Source organism: Homo sapiens, chromosome 13, assembly GCF_000001405.40.
Source record: "Homo sapiens chromosome 13, GRCh38.p14 Primary Assembly".
NCBI lineage: Eukaryota > Metazoa > Chordata > Mammalia > Primates > Hominidae > Homo > Homo sapiens.
In genome coordinates this window covers 91,197,326-91,217,437 of record NC_000013.11, presented here as the reverse complement: position 1 = coordinate 91,217,437, position 20,112 = coordinate 91,197,326, and the positions used below count along the sequence as shown (strand labels likewise).

Below are 20,112 nucleotides of genomic sequence, written 5' to 3'. Positions count from 1 at the left end.
AGGTTGCCCGCAGGGAATCCCTGCTGGTGCCTACTGGCACGTAGAAGTCCTTTTCTTTAGGGAGTATCTCTCAAGCTAGAGGCAAATCTAACCAACACATGTTTAACCTAGGACAGTATATAAAACCCTTTTTGTATGCACGATTTCATCTAATCTTCACAACGATCCTGCAAGACTAGTGTTATTTCTCAACATTTTTTTTTCTTAGGGGATTAAGTCACTTGCTTAAGAACATAAACAGCTAAGAAGCCGTGCAGCAGGAACTCAAACCTATGTCTTGGACTCAGAATCCTGTGATCTTTGCTCTACATTTATAAAGCCTCTCTGCTTCTGGGTAAACCGATGAAATTGAGATTCTGGGTTTATAAGGCTGAAAGCCACACCCGCACTAGTCATACTTCCGCCTTGAGATTTTAAGTTTCCTTGGAGTGTTCTTCAAAAGGACTATGTGGATCTCAGTAAAATCACAACAAATATTTGTTAAAAAATAAACGGATATATTTTATACTTTGAGAGTCTTTGCAAAGTGTATCGAAGTTAATCTTCCTTAAAAGCTTAATTCAGAGGAATTTTATTTCTTCTAGGTCTGAAAATTATGCTCCCATGCCTTTAATTAACAGAGGACAATGCCTTAAAAAGAAGGCTTTCCCAATGCAGAGAGCAACATACTAACAGATTGAAATAAGGTAAGCTACGGGTATAAGGGTGTAATGTTGACATGAGAAGGGAAAATACAAAATAGTGGGTATCAAGACCTGTGTGAATAGAAGGGGAACTAGAAGACAGGCTTACAAAAGTGACAATGAGGACGTTTCTTTTTTATAATGATGTCTAGGGTTTCCCCAGTCTATACCTGCTATTTTTGTAGTTTCTTTATGAAATACTTTGAGCTATTTAGCAAATTATAGATCATTCATACTCTTTCACTTAGTCCCCTGACTTCTATTGCCAACCTAGCAACTGTTGTTTTCCTCAGTAGAAATAGATATAAAAATAAAGCATCAGACCAAATGTGCTTAAATGCAGTGATCAAATTCTCTTAGAGAGTGGTTTTAAAATCTGGATGCAGCTGAGCCCATTCCTTAAGCAAAAACATGGAAGCCCAATAAGTAAAACAAAAGCAGAGCTGATGTCATAGAAATGGGGTCAGGGGGACAAACCTCTATTTCATCACATCCTTCGGGGCAACCTTTCGACTCCTCTGGCAAGGGAGATCCACTTCTGGGATTTGAAACGAGGTGAATTATCCTGTTTTGTTTTTGTTTTACAACGGGACCTAGAATCTATTCTTTGCATGTCTTTTCTGGCTCCACTAAAAAGTAGAGTTCAGGACAGTCAGGAATCTGGGTGGCACATAAGCTAAGTCCCATGAAAATGGGAAGTGGGAAAACTGACATATATCTAGTAACATTTCAATAGCAACAAAGAACTATTTTTCTTTGAAAATTTTCACAGTGAATATAATCTCATGAAAGAATAAATGTTCTGTCATTTTTGGAATTTAAAGAGTGGGATGAATAACTTTTAAAAATACTGAAAAGTGCATTATATCTCTTTGACTTGCGGTTTAGCTCCACCATCCATCATAATTGTAGGCGATAGGAAGAGAATCTTGATCATCAATCTACCCTCCTGCTCTTGTCAGCGCTGCTGTCCTCAGATAAACATAATTTGTTTCTACTGTTTTTATTTTCTGAAAAGATTTGAATAAATGGAAACATACAAGCTTTTATTTTAGGCATTGTCTTTTGTAGAACTGAGTGGCTTTGGAGCTTGTTTAAAGCTTGGCCAACCAAAAATGGAGAAAGGAAATTATATGTACATTTTATGTTATATAGTAAACTTTAGGTCATCTTGCTTTCTACTGGGCTAGAGGATATTAGATCTTGCGTGCTTTTGTAAATCACAGGATGAGATATTTATGAAGCTCTTATGAAAATTATATAATTTTCAAAGTGCTCTTTCTATTAAGGATATGTGTAGTTTTTTCACTGAGTAATGTTTCACAGGCAGCATTCTTCTGCCTATGTGCAATAGCTAGAAATCTTGAAGAAAGGAGATTCAACTGAACTTGGACCTGCCATTGTTGAGTACTTCTCACTTATAAATTAGATTTACCCTCATATGAGATACAATTTCTTTTTGTATTCAATCCAATTCTTCATTCACTTTATGGCATTTCTCTACTCTTGGCCTTTTAGGCATCCAAGTTTTTCAGAACGTTAGTCCAATTAAACATCTCTGAGAATATTCATAGGTATACACCAACTATCTCTAAATCCCAGAGAAAATTAGGAGATGCTCGGCTTATTCTTTTTCTGTAATTATCTCTTTAGAAATAAGAAGTCTTCTAAATTTATCTCCATTCTATATTGACTTGAAAGGCCATTACATACACAAGAAAACTTAGAGGTATAAATATATAATGTGAAATGTCTGTTTTTTGAGTTTTTTCTTTTCTTTAAAGTAACTTATTTAGAGATTTTGGGGTACAGAAGACTAAGGAAGACAGCACAGATTCAGTAGCAAAAAATTCCTGCATATCAGAGCATTTCTTTGAGGAAATATCATGGAGAGGATGTATGGAAATTTTAGTTGACTACCTAAGAAAGAGCTACCATGTTTTTATACACATGGACTCAAAATAAGTTTTGCCACCAGTTTTAATCCTCCACATAGTCCTTTGGCATTAGGTGGCCAGTCAGATGATCTTGTTGCTAACACTCTCCTTTTTGGTCCTTACAATAGAGATGGTAATTCCTAAAATGGCTACGTAAAGAGGGTGTCATGAAAATTACCTTAAAAATGGGTGCAAAGGTTGAAAAAAAAACTGAATCCAGATTATGAGCTCATTCCACAAGAACGAATCAAACAGGGATGATATTCTTTTCTAAATGCAGATGAGTGTTGGAACAGCATGCACATTCTTATAGGCTCAGACAACCTGAAATTCCAGTTTTTTTGAGCCCTTCAAAGTTTTGGCTTTTCAGAAAAAGACTGAAGAGAGGAAACGACTCAGCATCATTGAAAAAAGGAATAGATCAAACTTGAACTCAAAAGTTCTATTTTCAGTTGAGGAAGTCTTGTTGCTAAAGCATGGATCTGTTCACAACTTGAACACACTGAACAAGCCCCACTTCTTTTGCAACCTCTAGTCTTACAACAGAATATGTGTAGATATGTACCCCTTTATAATGATTTTGTTTTGCATGCAATCAAATGGTTATGAAGTTTTTGTACAAGAATTTCCGTTTGAGGCCAAACTTTATTCCTGAAGTGTCATATATAGTTCCTCTTAAAATATTTATTGCTATTACTTTTGATTCCTTAATGTGAGGTTTGGTAGAGCAGTAACTGCCATCTCTTACCATGTTGTTATCTCAGTTGCCAACTATACTTTTCTATTTTTTAGAGCACTTTTAGATTCCCAGCAAAATTGAGCAGAAAGTACAGAGTTCACATTTACTCCCTGCCCCTGCAAATGCACAGCCTCCCCCACCATCAAGGACCCTCACCAGATGGTACATTTGTTACAATTGATGAACATACATTTATATTTCTTTATCACCCAAAGTCTATAATCTCCATTAGGGTTCACTCTTGGTGTTGTACGTTCTATGGGTTTTGACAAATGCATAATGCCATATAGTAACCATTAAAGTATCATATAGTATCACCTTAAATATTCTCTGTGCTTCACCTATGGACATATGTGTCTCTCCTTCTCCCTCCTCCCAGCCCCTGCCAACTACTGCTCATCTTACTGTCTTCATACTTTTGCCTTTTCCAGAATGCCATGTAGCTGAAATTATATAGTAGCTAGCCTTTTCAGAACAATTATACTTTTGGAAAACCGAAAGTATTTAGTTGCAAATCATAGGATTCATTTCTAAATCCATGGCTATTTTTAAGATGAAAAAATTAGTAACAATTGTAAATATAGTTATTTTAATATAAGATATAAATGTATGTGTTTCATATAAAATAAAAATATGTATGTATTCTTTGCATGATCACTGCATCCAATGTCAGGGACCATTTTCAGATCCTGAAAGAGGCAAACTATTGTCTTGACTGTATTCATATGTAATTTCCAAGTCTCCTTCTTTTGTATTCTTAGATAAGATACCTGCTGAGAAAAAAAGACAACTAAGGCTAAAATACTTGATAAAGAGAGATTTGCCTTTTTCACTTTAAGATTCAGTTTTTCTGTTTTCATCTACTTTTCCATCAAAAAAGGAAATCCTGACTTCTACCAGGGTCATAACTTCTTAACATATTTCCTGCCTGACTAGAATTTAGAAGACTTGAAATTTTCAAAATGGATTGCTGGAGGCTTAATTTTTAATTACTATTTTAGGTTAGCCGTCTTGTTCCTCCAAACTAAACCCCGAGTAGTTTGTGTTTATGATTACCCTGGCAGCTGTGAAACAAGGTGACAAGGAGGTCTTGTTTTTGTTTTGTCAGAAGTAACTGTTATGGACCTTGTTAGGCTATGGCGATTTCGTCCCTCTACATCGATGGTGTTAAAGTCTCCCCATAAAGTGAAGTTTTAAAATCTCATAGTAAAAAAATCAATTTTCCTTTGAACTGCCAACCAAGTTTCCATGTCACAATTTGTAAACGTCATTATGGTGTAGTGAAAACTGCTTGAGAAGTCCTAGAGAACTGTGGAAAGAAACACTTATGTGTGAGTTTTGCTAGCTGTCAATTCTTACATATGGAAACCTAAGACAAGAAAGTGATAATATTTAAAGAAGAGGAGGGATACTGAAGGAACAAAAAGAGTGTGTTAAGCTTTGTTCCATGTGTTAATAATGTTAATGCTTTTTAATTGTTATTAAAAATTTGGTAGTTGGCTCTTCTTTTTATCAATGAAATGTCAATTAATTTTGAGAATAATTTTCAACCCCACGTGAGATAAAAAAGTCACAAAACCGAGAGACATTATTACCTGAAGAGGAAGTGGTTTAGGAAACTTGTCAATCACAGTCATGACTAGGGAACCACTTTGGTCACTGCTTCCGATCTTAACTAGCTGTTATTTGGAGAACAGTTGGTGGCACCCAAGCTAGATGTCACATTCATGACAATTGCTTGCGGTGGGGATGAAGGAGATGGATTTAAGACATATGTCCATGGAGGACGTTTTATTTTAAAAAATCAACTTTAAAAATTACTTGTAAAATATTCTAGTAATCAGCTGACCCTAAAATGTAGATGTTCTTTAATGGAAATAATATTCTTGATAAAGTCTGCATAAAACAAAGAGTGTTAAACTCTGTTGAAAAGTAAAGCAGATTTCTAATCTAAAATAAACCACCTTTGTTTTATGATATGCTGATAGGCGGATTGGTTGATTGAAAGTTATAGAAGAATTAGATAGGACATTAAACACATTAAAAACGTATGTCTGGACAAATGATAATTTGTTAGAATATGGTCAAAAGTTAAGCATGCAGAGGTACAGTCTAATAAATCTTAACTTTCAAATCAATTTTCAATAGATGTGAGTGATCTCAAAATTCTCAATGTATGAGATACCTTTACAAGAATCATTACTTACTACAAATCCTGGCATAGTTCTGTTTCTTTAAAATGCAGCAGGGTGAAAACATGTTATCTTAACAGCTGCCTCCTGAACTCCTTTCCGGGCAGTACTGTTTTGTTTATGCAACATTCACTAGGACAGGGAGACCCTGAGGGAATGGGTATTGGCAGGAATGAAAGTAAAGAAGGAACAGTTCTGCTTCTGTGAGCCAGGTGGAGAAGAGACGGTAGGACCAGAGAAGTAGTGTTGGAAGTGAGGTGGGTGTCAGAGATGCCAGAAAGGTTAAAGGCTGGAGTGCTACATGGCATAAATCTGTCAGTGAAAGTTTCTTAGGGGAATATGCTGGAACCTCTTTGGGACCCCGAAGTCTCCAGTAGAAGTTTTGTTATAGTTAATAGGCTTGATTTCGTTGTAGCTTTTGGGAGATGGGTTAGAAGAGGGACCTTTGCTCCATATTTGGGATGACCCCAGGATGAACATATAAAAATAGGCATGAGACACAGGGCAGGGGTAAAAAATTCAACCTGAGGAAGAAAATCATATCATAAGAGAATATGAGAATTTAAGGCATACCTCCACCTTCTCCATTCCCAGGAATTTGAATATAATTAGGGAAGATTTTGAATTTCCACAATCCATGCAATTGGATGTTTGAATTAGTCTTATTTAGATTTTAAGTAGTGAGGAGACCAGGTGACATCATGATTACACAATAAAGTGTGATTCCTTCCATGGTGTTTGAAACTTCAGAAGAGGTCTTTTGTCCATGTTTTTAGTGGATTTTATTTTTCATATTAACATGTAGAAGTTCTTTATATATATGAATACTAATCCTTGGGCAGTTATGCATGTAGCTAATATTTTTCTACTATATGGCTCTTACTTTATTGCTTTTACAATATCTTTTGATGAGCAAAAGCTTGAAGTTTTAATGAACTGTTTATTAATATTTTTCTTTGTAATTGGAATTTTCAGGGTCTTAAGAAATCTTTCCCAATTCTGAAGTCATGAAGATAAACTGTCTTCAACAACTAAGTTTTAGTCTTGAATCCATTTAAAGTTAATGTCTATGTATGATACAAAGCATGGATGCAATTTTACTTTGTTTTACTTTTTTGCCATAGAAGTGATAATAATGAATATCTTTGTCATTAAGCTGCTTTATCTTAAAGCAAATACTCTCAATGTTTTGCCATTAAGTGTGGCATTTATTTTACTGCTATTTTTATACATGTTCTTTTTCAGGTTAGGAAATTTCTTTCTTGTCATTTTCTTGTTAGTCTCCTTGCTTGGATTTTTTATGAGTGACACTGAATTTCACCACCCCCCTTTTTTTGAATCCATTGAGGTAATAACATAATTTTCCTTTTTTATTCTTTTAGAGTAGTAACTAATTTTAATACTTTATTGTTATTAATTCAATCCTATGTTTCTGAAATAATTCCAGCTGGGTCATGACATATATACACTTTTAAACAATGCTGTGCTCAATTTGTTGAATTTATGCTCATAAGTAAGATTGATAAGTAATGTTTTCCTTGTTTTTCCTTGGTATCACAGCTTGAGTGCTCCATCTCAAGCTTGAGAACTACATTCAAAATGTATTGAGGAGACTATCACTTTTTTCTATTCTCTGAAAACTTGTGTAGGATTGGAATTACCTGCTACAAAGCCATTTGGACCTGGTGTTCTCTTTTGGAGAAGATTTTTAACTGCTGATTTAATTTCTTTAATGGCTCTAAGACTATTAAACTTTTACTTGCTCTTTGAGTAAAGTTTGGAATTTGTATTTTTAAAGGATTTATCTATTTTGTCGACATTTTCAAGATATTTGACATTACTGTTGCCCCTAAAAACTTGTCACCTTTTTAAATCTCTGTAGCATGTAATGTCTCTTTTTTATTACAAATATTTTTTATTTTGTGTCTTCTATCTGTCTTTCAGTTGATCTAGCTAGAAGTCTTTCTGTATTATTAATCTGTCCAAAGGCTTAATTTTTGGCTTTGTTGATTCTCTCTATGGTATGTTTTTGCTTCTCATTGTTATGATTTTATTTTAAATATTTCTTTCCTCTTATTTCCTTTGTTTTTGATTTTCTGTTCTTTTTCTAAATTTCTGGGTTGCACACTAAACTTATTAATGTTGAGCATTTCTACTTCTCTAATGCAGGTATTTCATGATATATATTTTATTCTATGTATCAATATAGCTATGCCAAGTATTTTTTGTTGTGCTGTGTGTGTATATATTTCTTTCATTTTTTTGTGTCTTTTTTTTCCTTTTACTTTTTTCTCCTCAACTTGTTTAGCAGCTATGTGTTCCACATCTATTCTTCTAGAAGTATCAAAACATTTACCTTCATCCTGAAAATTACAAGAACCTTAAAATGCTTTAACTTTGATCATACTTCCTTTCTAATTTACATACAGTGGTACCTGATATTTTAATTCTGCTAATCTTTAAAGACAGAAATTAAATGCTACTACTTTATTCAATCATTGTTGAGATTTAATAAAAAATTTAATGATATCTCCGCTTATGATCCCTTCTCATACTCAGACCTTCTCCCTGGTATTATCTTTATTCTGCCTAAAATACATCCTCAGACTTTCCATTACTAAGGATTTGGTATGACAAAATGATTTTTAGTTTGTTTCTTTCTCAGTTTTTGTTACAGAAATTCAGTTTTACTTCATTTACTCAAAAGAAGAAAGTAGTAGTTTAAAAGACAGGCTGTGGGACTGAGGGAGGGAGAAAAGAGAATTCATCTTAAAAGGTAGCGAGTTTCTGTTTGGGATGATGAAAAAGTTGTGGAACTTGATAAGGGTCATAGTTGTACAATGTTGTGAATGCACTTAATGTCACTGAATTGTATACTTGAAAATAATTAGAATGGTTTTATGTTATTGTGTTTACACACAGACACACACACACACATACACGCACACACACACGTGTGCACACACAGGTTCTGTGTGTGCATGTATAAATGTACCTGTATTCAAATAGCCCATCTCTTGCTAACAGTGATTTTCAGGCAAGTAAATTAACCCTGCTCTGCCTTTCTTATCTGTCAAATGGAACTGTACATGAGGTAGACTGCCTACCTCAGGGTTTTTATGAGGACTAAATGAGGTGGTATATGTAAAATGATTAAAACGAGGCTGGTTTATATTCACTATTTAGTAAGCATTAGCTATTATTATTGTTCCTTGTTCCTTATATGCAGGGATCACTATGCAGTGATAACAAAGACAACACAGGCCTAGGGAGGCCATGGAATTCACTCCAAGCTTAAACACAAGCTGAAAAACGTCTATGCTGCTTCCCCTGAAATCACGGCTGCATACCCAATGGTCTTACACAATTCAGACTTATTTCCACTCACCTTTTTCTGGGATATGAACATGTGACTTTAATTTCATCATTTAAAAACTAAGTTTCGCCAGGCGTGGCGCCTGTTGTCCCAGCTACTCGGGAGGCTGAGGCAGGAGAATGGCGTGAACCCGGGAGGCGGAGCTTGCAGTGAGCCGAGATTGCACCACTGCACTCCAGCCTGGGCGACAGAGCGAGACTCCGTCTCAAAAAACAAACAAACAAACAAACAAACAAACAAACAAACAAAAACAAGTTTCAGTTTAATAATTTAGTGTTTAAGATGGTTTATGAAACAAAAGTCATCATCCTGTGAGGGTAACTGTCATACCATTTCATGTTAGTATTAGAGTACTTGAGTACTTGTTAGAGAACAAATCTTTGGCTACCTTTCAATTCTTGTAATAGCCTGAAGGTGCTTGTGAGTAGGATGACTTTTGGCTGTTTTATGTATTTGTCCGTAGTTCTGAACAAAGATATCTGTTTAACCTGGATGTGAAGGCCCGGTCTATTTTCATTCTTTAAATATTTTTTTTTCTTTCTTGTTTTGATGTCTTGAAAAAAAAAAATTAAAGATGTCATTGTAGTTTATGAAGAAAAATAATAGGAAGTTACACGATATAAACGTAGCTTATTTCTTAATCTGCAGATTTTATTGGGCATAGAGTATATATTTTTGAATACAGTTAGGAAATTGCTAAAGATTTAATCAATATGAAAGAATTAATGTTATCTCCATTCTTGTAAGAGAGATATTCAACTGCAGTCATTAAAATTGCTAACCTTATTTATCAGGCAGTCCAAGTATCTTTTAAAGGTATGTAGAATGTTTAAAATACTTATACATGCATAGACTGGAAAGAGTTTATATTGAAATTTACCCAGTTGTTTGGTTTGGAAAAAAATGTAAACCTCTGTAATCACATTTGTAATATGAAAATTATTAGTGAAGACAGAAAGTATCTAACTGATTGAGAACTCATAAACAGAGAAAAAGCTTCTTTCAGGCACCCACAGGATATCAGAGCTCTGCAGCCCCTTGACGCTGAGAGTCCCTCCCAGGCACAGCCACTTCAAAGCCTCCCTTTTTCCCAGCTGGCTCTCCACTTCGTATGAATTCCGCTAGGAATATTTCACCAAGCTGGAAGATAAAAATACCTTTCAGTGTCAAAACCTCACAATTTTTAATAATAAGGTGTATTAATTGGCTTTTCTGCTTTTGTTTTTTAAATAGGGCAGCACGGCCTAATAACTCAGAGCTGGCATATCTTTTGGTGGTCAAATGTAAGAAATCCACGAATTCCTGCTTTTTAATGTTATAAATAGAGCAAGATCTGGTGGCCGTTGATTTTCGAACCAATTAAAGTTATGCCACAAAAAACTTAGTGATGACTACTGTATACTGCTGGTTTTATGTCATATTTTAAGGGCAAATTAAATTAAATCTCTCTAGGAGAGATTTCATATTCATTGTTTGTTCGTAGTTTTTGTTTGTTTTGAGGCACATGGGACCTGGAAGAATAACACTCACTTTCAAAATTAGCATCTTCAAAGATGAAGTATTGGATTTTAAATCCCCAAACTGCTGAATCATAGGGCTGCAAGGGATCTTGTTTTGTATTTTTATTCAGTTATTTTGCCTTTTAGAAGGATGTATGTAATGTAGTCAAATAAGGTTATAGTCCGTATTGAAAGTTTCTCCAAAGAAATAAATGTAATATACAGTTCACTTTTTCCAATAGTAGACAGAGTTATTTGCCTTACAGAAATAGAGAAATCTAAGTTAACGGTTTACTTTCTCCTTACTTTTGAATGTAATGTCTTCTGTCTTTTATTGTTCAGAAGTTTGTTGTCAGTCTATTGTTGATCCCTTGTAAATAATCTGTCCTTTTTTTCTGGTTGCTTTAAATACCTTCTCTATGACTGTAACTATACAGTTTCAATATTATTTGTTTATCTATCTATCTATCTATCTATCTATCATCTATCTATCTATCTAGATACATGTCTACCTATGTATCTATCTATCTATCTATCATCCATCTATTATCTACCCACCCATCTATTAATCTTGAGAGGATCTTTTGCTTTTTGACTCATGAATGACAGCCTGAATACATTATCAATTAGTAACATTCACAGCCATTATATTTTTGAGTAATATTTCTACATTCCCTCTGTTATCACTATCCAGAACTCCAAATAGCTGTATATTTGAACATCTCATCTTGTTTTCTTTGATGCTTAAATAGTCTTTTATTTTCCTAATTCCTTATCCCTCTTTGATACATTTTAGGTATTTTCCTTATCTTTCAATTTGTCAATTGTGCCTTATATTTTGTTTTATCTCCTGTGTCATCTGCCTATTAAGATTTAATTTCTATGATTATATTTTTTACTTTTACAAGTTTGAATTGTTCTTTCTCAAAGCTAGCCAGTATTTTTCCATTGTGTCTTGTTCTTTTTAGAGGTTGATTTCTCATTCAATAATTTTAAACATGCTCATTTCCAGAGGGTTTATCAGAGTCTTTTATAATATAAAGTTTGTGGGATTCTAATCCTTTTGGCTGTCCCTGCTAATCATTGCTCATAGTGGAATATTTAAAAGTAACTTTAAATATATCTTTAGCATTGCAATTTTAGTGTACTTCTAGGTATGTAGTGAGCTTAGGTGGAAGTCGTGGCACTCCAATGCAGATTTGCTTTTGCTTCTACCAGATACCCTACAAGCTATCAACACTCAGAATCATTTTGCTATTGTTGCTAATATCTTGGCTTGGGAGTTCCTAAACAAACTAGTAGGAGAATTCTGAACTGCAAATCCATGCAAGGTGCTGGTCAATGGTTTTTGATACTCAGGGGAGAGTCTCTTTTTTTCCCTACCTAAGCCCATGGCAGAGACATAGCTTCCTTGTTATTTTGTATGTGAGTATATTTTTGCCTTAGTCTACTTGTCATTGATAGTGAAATATTTTGAGGTCCCAGATTTCGGTAGGGGTTTTAGTTCTAACTTCCCCTCCTGTTTGGGCCCAAGGCCTCATTTCTTGTCACTCATGGTATTTAAACCCAGGCTGTAAGTTTATGGAAGCTGTCCACATCTATCATCCACGGCAAGGATAGCTGCCAGGATATTCGCATACTGCTTTAGTTTTTCAACTCTCTTTTGTTTCTGACTCCTGAGTATTCCTATTCTTGGACTTTCAACTATGGATCTAGGTGGATTTTATCCAGCGTTTCTAGGTGTTTGCATCCGGATAATTTTTAGTTTATCATTTTCCACCATCTTGTTAGAATATGTCATATAGCTACTAAATGCTGCTCCCTCAAAAAGCCAGCTGATGCTTTAAAATGACCTCTTCCTAAGCAAAATGCCATCTTTCTCCATGGCTTCTCTTCGAAGTGAGTATAGTTGTAGTTATAATTTGTTGAATTATTACCATATATTTATGCTTCAATTATATTATTTAATGCTCACATAAAAACCTGAAAGGTTGGGTTTATATGCATTTTATAAGTGAGGATATTGAGACTCAGAGAGGTTAAGTGACTTGCCCAAGGTCATACAGTAGAAAAATATCACAGGCACGATGTCAGTGGAGGTCTATTCAATGCAAAAACATTGCTTATAAACATTTACAGGTTGAGTATCCCTTATCCCAAATGCTTGGGACCAGAAGTGTTTCAGATTTCAGGTTTTTGAGGGGTATTTTAGAATATGCACATATACATAATGAGAAATCTTGGGGATGGGACCCAAGTCGAAACACAAAATTTATTTGTGTTTCATACACATTTATACACATAGCCTGAAGATAATTTTACACAAGATTTGTAATAATTTTGTGCATGAAACAAAATTTTGACTGCAACCCATCACATGACGTCAGGTATGAAATTTTCCACTTGTGATATTGTGTTTTACCGAAAACAGCTTTGGATTTTGGAAGATTTTGGATTTCAGATTTTCAGACTAGGGATGTTCAACTTGTGTCTATGTGGCCAACAGAGATAATTAGTTTCAAGAGAAACTATTTGATATGAATTATCTGGTATGCTCCTTGTAAAAAGTTTTATAGCCATTAATATTTGGCTTTAGAATATGCTATTTATATGTATATATTCACATGCACACATGGAATTTTTAAATTTAAATAATGATCCCTTCCCATTAATGTTTGACTTTAGAATGCATTTTATGAGTTAACAAATTTTCTCCCTGTTTCCTAGCCAGACATTAAAATTAATCAGAGCCTATTTATCACTAATGAAAATTCACAGAGTGCCTTATAAATATATTCTTTCATTTAGCTATATGACAAGGCAATGCTAGCAGTGACTGAATGGCACAATTGTCTATAGGATAATGCCTACAGTTTTCAGCTTGTCACATGAAACCTTTGTGAACTATTCCCATCTTGTTATTACTCACCCTCCCAAACATTGTCCTATGCTTTCAAAGTGAGAGGTGAACTAGGAAGTGACCCACGGAATGCTCCTTCTCATTCTAATTTAGTAACTAGATGGGTTGGGGCCAGTTGCTTAGACAGAGAATGTTGGAGGTGAGGATCTGGTCTGGGGACTGGAGGAGAAAACAAATAAGCATTGAGCCTAATAAGTTTTAGCTCTGGTGGGACATCGAAGTGAAGATGTCTAGGAGGCAGTTTGGTTGTGGAAAAAAGGGGAGAAAGCTTTGGCCTCTATCTTCCCAATTACAGTGAATTTTCTGGGCAGCAGGGGTTGAATTTATATTTTACAATGTCCCAACACAGTGCCTTGCTCAATAGGCCCTCTTAGTCTAGCATCTGAGTCCTTGAAGTTATTTAGCTACATTATCTCCATGCATTTCCGGAACACTCTATTTACCTAAGCCTTAGCCCTTTTCACACTACATGCCTTAGATACTATCACACTGTTTTGAAACCTTCTGCTTAATTTGTGTTCTCCCCACTGGACTATAAGCTTTTGGAGAACAGGGACAGCTGTCTTGTCTATTGTCACAAATAGTACCTGGTGCTAAATACACACTCATGGACTAAATGAGTAGATGCTGACTAATTATAGTTCTAATTCAATACAGCATTACAAAAGCACAGCAGGTAAGGAAGGAAGCCAGGGAATTGTTATGGGGGAATGAATAGTAAAAAATTAGGGCATTCTCTTTGAGCTAGGTCAGAAGAAAAGTGCCATGAAAGATAAGCTTCATGAAATGCACTTGTTTGGAATTATTTCTTAGTATTTAACTCGGGAATAAACTGGAGTAAGCTCACTTATTTCTGCTCTTATTATACTTTGGTGTTCTATGCACTCCAGTTCCTTATTCATTTTTCACAAGTTAAAAGGGTTATTGGGAATTATACAGAGAGGTCTTCCATTGCTATGAAAGGAATGCGTGTTGGTAACTTCCATTAACATTTATCAAAGTTTATATATCCTTAACTCAATGTAAACAAAATGCTTCAAATTTATGTCTCTTACAAACTTTATCATTAATAATTTTCCTATTTAAATGACACAAAAAGGTACATGCTTTAAAACTATATTAGTTGTTTAAAAATGTCAAGAAAGTTAAAGTTTATGTAGTCTGCCACCTGCTTAATGCCTGTAAAATCATTCCTGCTGGAGATACTGAATTGTTTTCCATTATATTAACACTGCATGAATAAAAATCGAAGCCTTTTAAATCACAAGTTTCATAAGGTGTTGATTGGCGTGGAGCAGGATAAATTCAGACAAATATTTATGGTGCCAAGAGTTGTGTATATAGATAATCTTCCTTGAAAATGTTTCTAGTGTACTGTTAAACTGCCAAGGTGATATAATTTAACAGTTAAAGCAGTGAATAGAGAGCCAGGGGTCACTGAGTTTGAATTCTTTCTTCATTCCTACTTTAATATTTGATCCTGAACCATTTGGACCTTACCAAAGTCAAATTTCTACTTTGTGAAATGAGGAAAAATTAACCGTTCAGTTGCTGGGGCATGAGGATAGGGTCCGTGGTTAAAGAGACTTTGAAAATATACAATTACTATTAGAATGTAGACAGTCACAACATTGCTTTAATAGTTCATTCAGGCTGGTATAACAAGGTCATTAAACCAAATCATGACTTAATCACCTCCCAAAGTCTCCACTTCTTAATACCATCACCTTGGCAGTGAGGATTTCAACATATGAGTTTTGAGAAGACATAAACATCAGACCATAACAATTGTCATGTATGAGGGAATTGGTTTGCATTTATTAATCTTCACAAAGCATCATCAAGTTAACTTGCAGTAACACTTATTACTATTTACTGACTTCTTGCTGTTACTCAGACACTGCCCTAAGTGTTCTATGTACCCCGTTTACTCCTTGTAACAAGGAGTTAATAATACCTTTGAGGCAGGTATTATTCCAATATTACTGAGAGTAATATTAAAGGAGGTGAATGAGCTCAACATTACCCAACTTGAAGATGGCAGAATCACATTCAAACCCACGTGATTCTGAAGCCAGAAGTCTGCATTTTTATATTCCATGCTACGATGTCTCCATGCTTTGCAGATGAGGTATCTGAGGCTTAGAAAAGTCAAGCAGTTTGGTGAAGATCACAAGCTAACATACTGGACTGGAATGAAAGCCCTGATGTGTCTGACAAGGCAGCTCTAGCTATTTGTATTATTGCTCCTCTAATATTATTAATGTGCTTGGTATCTTTTGCATCACTTTTCTCTCTTGGATTACTAAGATAATTAGAGTCAGTGTTCTGCTGAATGCCTTGACCTTCCTAATCTCAGAAGCCCAATCTTGCTAATGAATTCTACTTTGGGGGATATGAAGGTGGATTATGCATCAAAGGTGGAATCAGTTGCATTTAAATCTTTTGGAATTCAGTTCCTTATTGCTTAAATGAGGGGTTAGGATAGTAGAATCTGTGGGTTTTTACCTCCATTATAGTTTAGCGTCTTTGAGTGCAATGAACAAATGTGGTCCGTCTACTGAGGCCCTGGTGCCTAACTTTGTAGATATACCAAAAATATTCATCGGCTTTAATGAAGTTGCATTAAATTCCTTGATTTTAAGACTAGGTAAAACAAAATTTCTACTCTATTTCATTTCTTTTTAAAATGGCAAATATGTTATTTTCTTTACAAGATGAAAGGAATTAATATAGTGGCCAAATGATTTACTTAAATTGTTTATTACATCTTTGTTCGTTAGACAGAACATGTGAGGTAGTGGCAGGATCAAACTACTTAGGTAGATCCATTTAGAATAATTCATTTGCTTAATCCAGACGAAGCTGCCAAACCAGTCATGCTGTCTTGCTAAGACTATTGAGAAGAACATACACTGTGGAGAAGAACATTCACAGAGAGTGTAAAATGGTTAAACAGTAAAGCCCCAGGTAGTTGCAGCCATGGGATATATTGATTAGGGACATGAAAGTAGTGTCAGAGAGCCCAAGGATCTCAGCATAAATGGGCTTATTTTTAATTCTGACTTTGCACTGCTCTCTTAAGACAGTCGTAGAGCGTGATGATTGCTTCTAACTTAACAGCATTTACACTAACACGATTTCACATGGGTAGAGGAAGAATGGAAAGTTTCTTCAGCATTAAGTTACATGTTTCTAGGGAAGTCCAATGCCAGCAGCAGCAATAGTTACATCTGAGATCCTGCCACTTGTTGCCACAATACAGGACCCTTCCAGTTGGTCCCATGGTGCCTTTAGTAGGTAGAATAGTGCTGTCTAAATATGTGCGTGCTCTAATCTTTGAAACCTGTGAATGTGTTACCATGCAGGGCAAAAGGGACTTAGCAGATGTGATTGTTTCCAGACCTTGAGATGGGGGAGATTATCTTAAGTTATCTTTGTGGGCCCAATGCAATCACATGAGTCTTTAAAAGCAAAAAACCTTTTCTGGTTTTCTGGTGGCCAGAGAGATGTGATGAGAGGACTCAACCCATTGTCGCTGGCTTTGAAAATAGATTAAAGAGGCCACAAACCAAGAAATGCGGGTGGCCCCTAGAATATGGAAAAGGTAAGAAAACAGGTTTTTTTCCTCCCTAGAGTCTGCAGAAAGAAGTGTGGTTCCTTTGATTTTAGCCTGGTGAAACTTGTGTTGTACTAATGATCTGTAAAACCATAAAATAATAATAAACTTCTGTTTAAGTGGCTATATTTGTGATAATTTGTTAGTGAAGCAATAGAAAACTAATACAGTGTCATTGTACATGATTATTTCCTGAATCACAGCAATGAGATTCAATAAGAATTGCCTTTTGAAGGATGTGTTAGGTATGGTGTTATGCTATATGTGTGTGTGTGTATAATTATCATGCAACAACCACCCCCTAAAAATCTACATTATTGTCTCCATTTCATAGATGAAAGAACTTACATAAGTTCTTTTTTGAAAGAACTTAAAGTAACTTACATAAATCACATATCTAGTAAATGATGCAACAGTTACTTGAAACCAGGTCATTCTGGAGTCAAAACCCATAGTGGGTCTACAATACCCTTCATATACAAAATGTTAGGATTATTTTTCTTTATCAGAAGGTGTTTAAAAGCAATCATGTTCATGTAAAATAGACTTTGTTACGTCAGATCTTTCCTTTAACCTTAGATGTCAAGTTATTTTCTCCAGAAGAGTGCCTGGTATATTATAGGCATTCAACATGTGGTGATAGGGTGAATGATTGCTGTTTAATAGACATGTGTGATATACGTATATATTATTACGTTTACTGTATTCTGTGTACATATTATATTACACTATACCTGTATATGTATAGGTATCAGCTTTTTTTTTCCTCTGTAAAAATAGGAGAGAGATGTTACTTTTGCCACTGAAAAATCAGGGATTCTAATAGGTTTCTTCTACATTTATAACATTTGAAGTTATAATTACATATTATTTTTAAGAATTTATTTAGGCCAGGGGTGGTGGCTCATGCCTGTAATCGCAGCACTTTGGGAGGCCGAGGCAGGCAGATCACTTGAGGTCAGGAGTTCGAGACCAGCTTGGCCAACACAGAGAAACCCTGTCTCTACTAAAAATGCAAAAAAATTAGCCAGGCGTGGTGGCTCGCACCTGGAACCCAGCTATTCAGGTGGCTGAGGTACCAGAAATGCTTGAACCCGGGAGGCAGAGGTTGCAGTGAGCTGAGATTTTAACAATGCACTCCAGCCTGAGTGACAGAGCGAGGCTCTGTCTCAGAAAAAAAGAAAAAAAATGTGATTTGGAGGTCATGTGTGGTTTATTTTCATAATTAGAATCAGTAATGAGAGTATATTTAATAAGGTAAAGAGACTAAAGTGGAGGGAATCTTTATGAATTTAGATATTAATGTTATTTTTCATTAGAATACTTTTAAAAGATTACAAACAAGGCAAGGAAAGTTAAATGACCTTTGCTTTTTCAGGCCAAGGGTTTCATTTTCTTTTTAAAATTGCTAGTAAAATTAGAAAGATAATAGCATCTAATTAAACTATATTCATTTTATTTTAAAGTCTACACTAACAGCACAAACTTACCAATAATAGTGCAACCCAAACTTCATTGTATATTAGTCCATCTTTAAATGATTACTAGATGCCTTAAGGAAGAATCTAGATGCTACAGAAACTTCACTTTCATAAGGGCGTCAATTACAACTAAATTGGTAAAAAGGATTGTTAATTAAGAAGCAATCATTCATATAACCTTTCTTAAAATAACCTTTCATTGTACATTTCCTTCCAACTATTTTGTAACAAATTTCAGTGAAGACTCCCAAATGAAAATAGGGATTCATTTTATTAATTAGAAAAGTAATTCCTATCCTTTTACTAAGATGACAAATGTTAATACTTGACAACAAAATAATCATGGGAAATTGGGAATGCTATTTTGCATTTAGTAGAAATTTATTGAGTAGCTAGGAGCAGGATACTTAACCAGACACTAAAGTAATTTTTAAAATACTTAGTTTTCTATCTTCTAACCTACATCTCCTCATTTCCTCCCCCTCTCCCTCCCACCCTGGTAACCACTGTTTTGTTCTTTCTCTTATATTTGAATTTTTGTTTTAGATTCTACGTATAAGTGAGATCATGAAATATTTGTCATCTGTCTGCATAATGTCCTTCAGCCTCATACATGTGGCAAATGGCAAGATCTTGTTCTTTTTTAGGGCTGAACAATATTCCATTGTATGTCTGTACCACAGTTTCTTTATCCATTCATTTGTTGACAGATACAGAGGTCATTTGCATATCTTGGCTATTGTGGCTACTGCTGCATTGAACATGAGTATGCAGATATGTTCATGTGCTAGTGACTTTATTGCCTTTGGGTATACACCCAGAAGATGGATTGCTGGGTCATATAGTAGTTCCATTTCTAATTTCTTTAGAAATCTCCATATTGTTTTCCATAATGGCTGTAGCAACCTAAATTCTCATCAACAGTGGACAGGAGTTCCCTTTTCTTCACATCCTTGCTGACATTTGATATCTTTTGTCTTTTTGTTATCAGCCATCCTAACGGGAAGTGAGGTGGTATCTCATAGTGGTTTTCATTTGTGTTTCCCTTTTATTAATGTGAAGCACCTTTTCTCATACCTGTTGGCCATTTTTATGTATTCTTTGTAGAAATATCTAGTCAGGTCTTTTTCCCATTTTTTAACTTGGTTATTTGTTTTTTCACGATTGAGTTCTCTGCAGTCTAGAGATCTAATTTTGTAACACGAAGATCATGGGCAGTAAATTTGTACTGTATGCGAGTTTCATGCTAAATTAGTAGATTTTAGCTGCTATTGCCACCAACACACACATACACACAATATGTAACTGTGCGAGGTTATAGATATGTTAATTTGTTTCACTACAGTAACCTTTTCAGTGTCTCTATATCCCATAACATAATGTCGTAGACTTTAAATATAAACAATGAAGAAAAACTATGACCATTCCGAATTGAAGGCAGAAACTTTAACAAATATTTGTACATCCACATTCATAGCAGCATTGTTCATAATAGCCAAGAAACCACTTATGTGTTTATCAGTGGTTAAAAGGATAAACAAAATGTGGTGTGTGTATATGTAATTTTTATATGCACACACACACACACACACACACACACACACACACACACACACACACACACATACAACGGAATGCTATTCAGCCTTAAAAGGGAAGGGAATTC

At 35.1% G+C, this 20,112-nt stretch overlaps 2 long non-coding RNA genes across 2 annotated transcripts in view; both read left to right on the top strand.

Moving 5' to 3' along the window:
• Positions 1 to 597: 597 nt before the first annotated feature.
• LOC124903188 (uncharacterized) lies at positions 598 to 1,730 on the top strand. The gene is made up of 2 exons (XR_007063830.1): positions 598 to 686; positions 1,572 to 1,730. It is a non-coding gene; the product is annotated as an uncharacterized LOC124903188 (long non-coding RNA).
• A 4,009-nt stretch (positions 1,731 to 5,739) lies between these two features.
• LINC00379 (long intergenic non-protein coding RNA 379) overlaps positions 5,740 to 20,112 on the top strand; it is an 84,086-nt gene continuing 69,713 nt past the window's right edge. Inside the window, exon 1 of the long non-coding RNA NR_047004.1 lies at positions 5,740 to 5,808. This is a non-coding gene — a long non-coding RNA (long intergenic non-protein coding RNA 379). The remainder of the gene's footprint in view (positions 5,809 to 20,112) is intronic.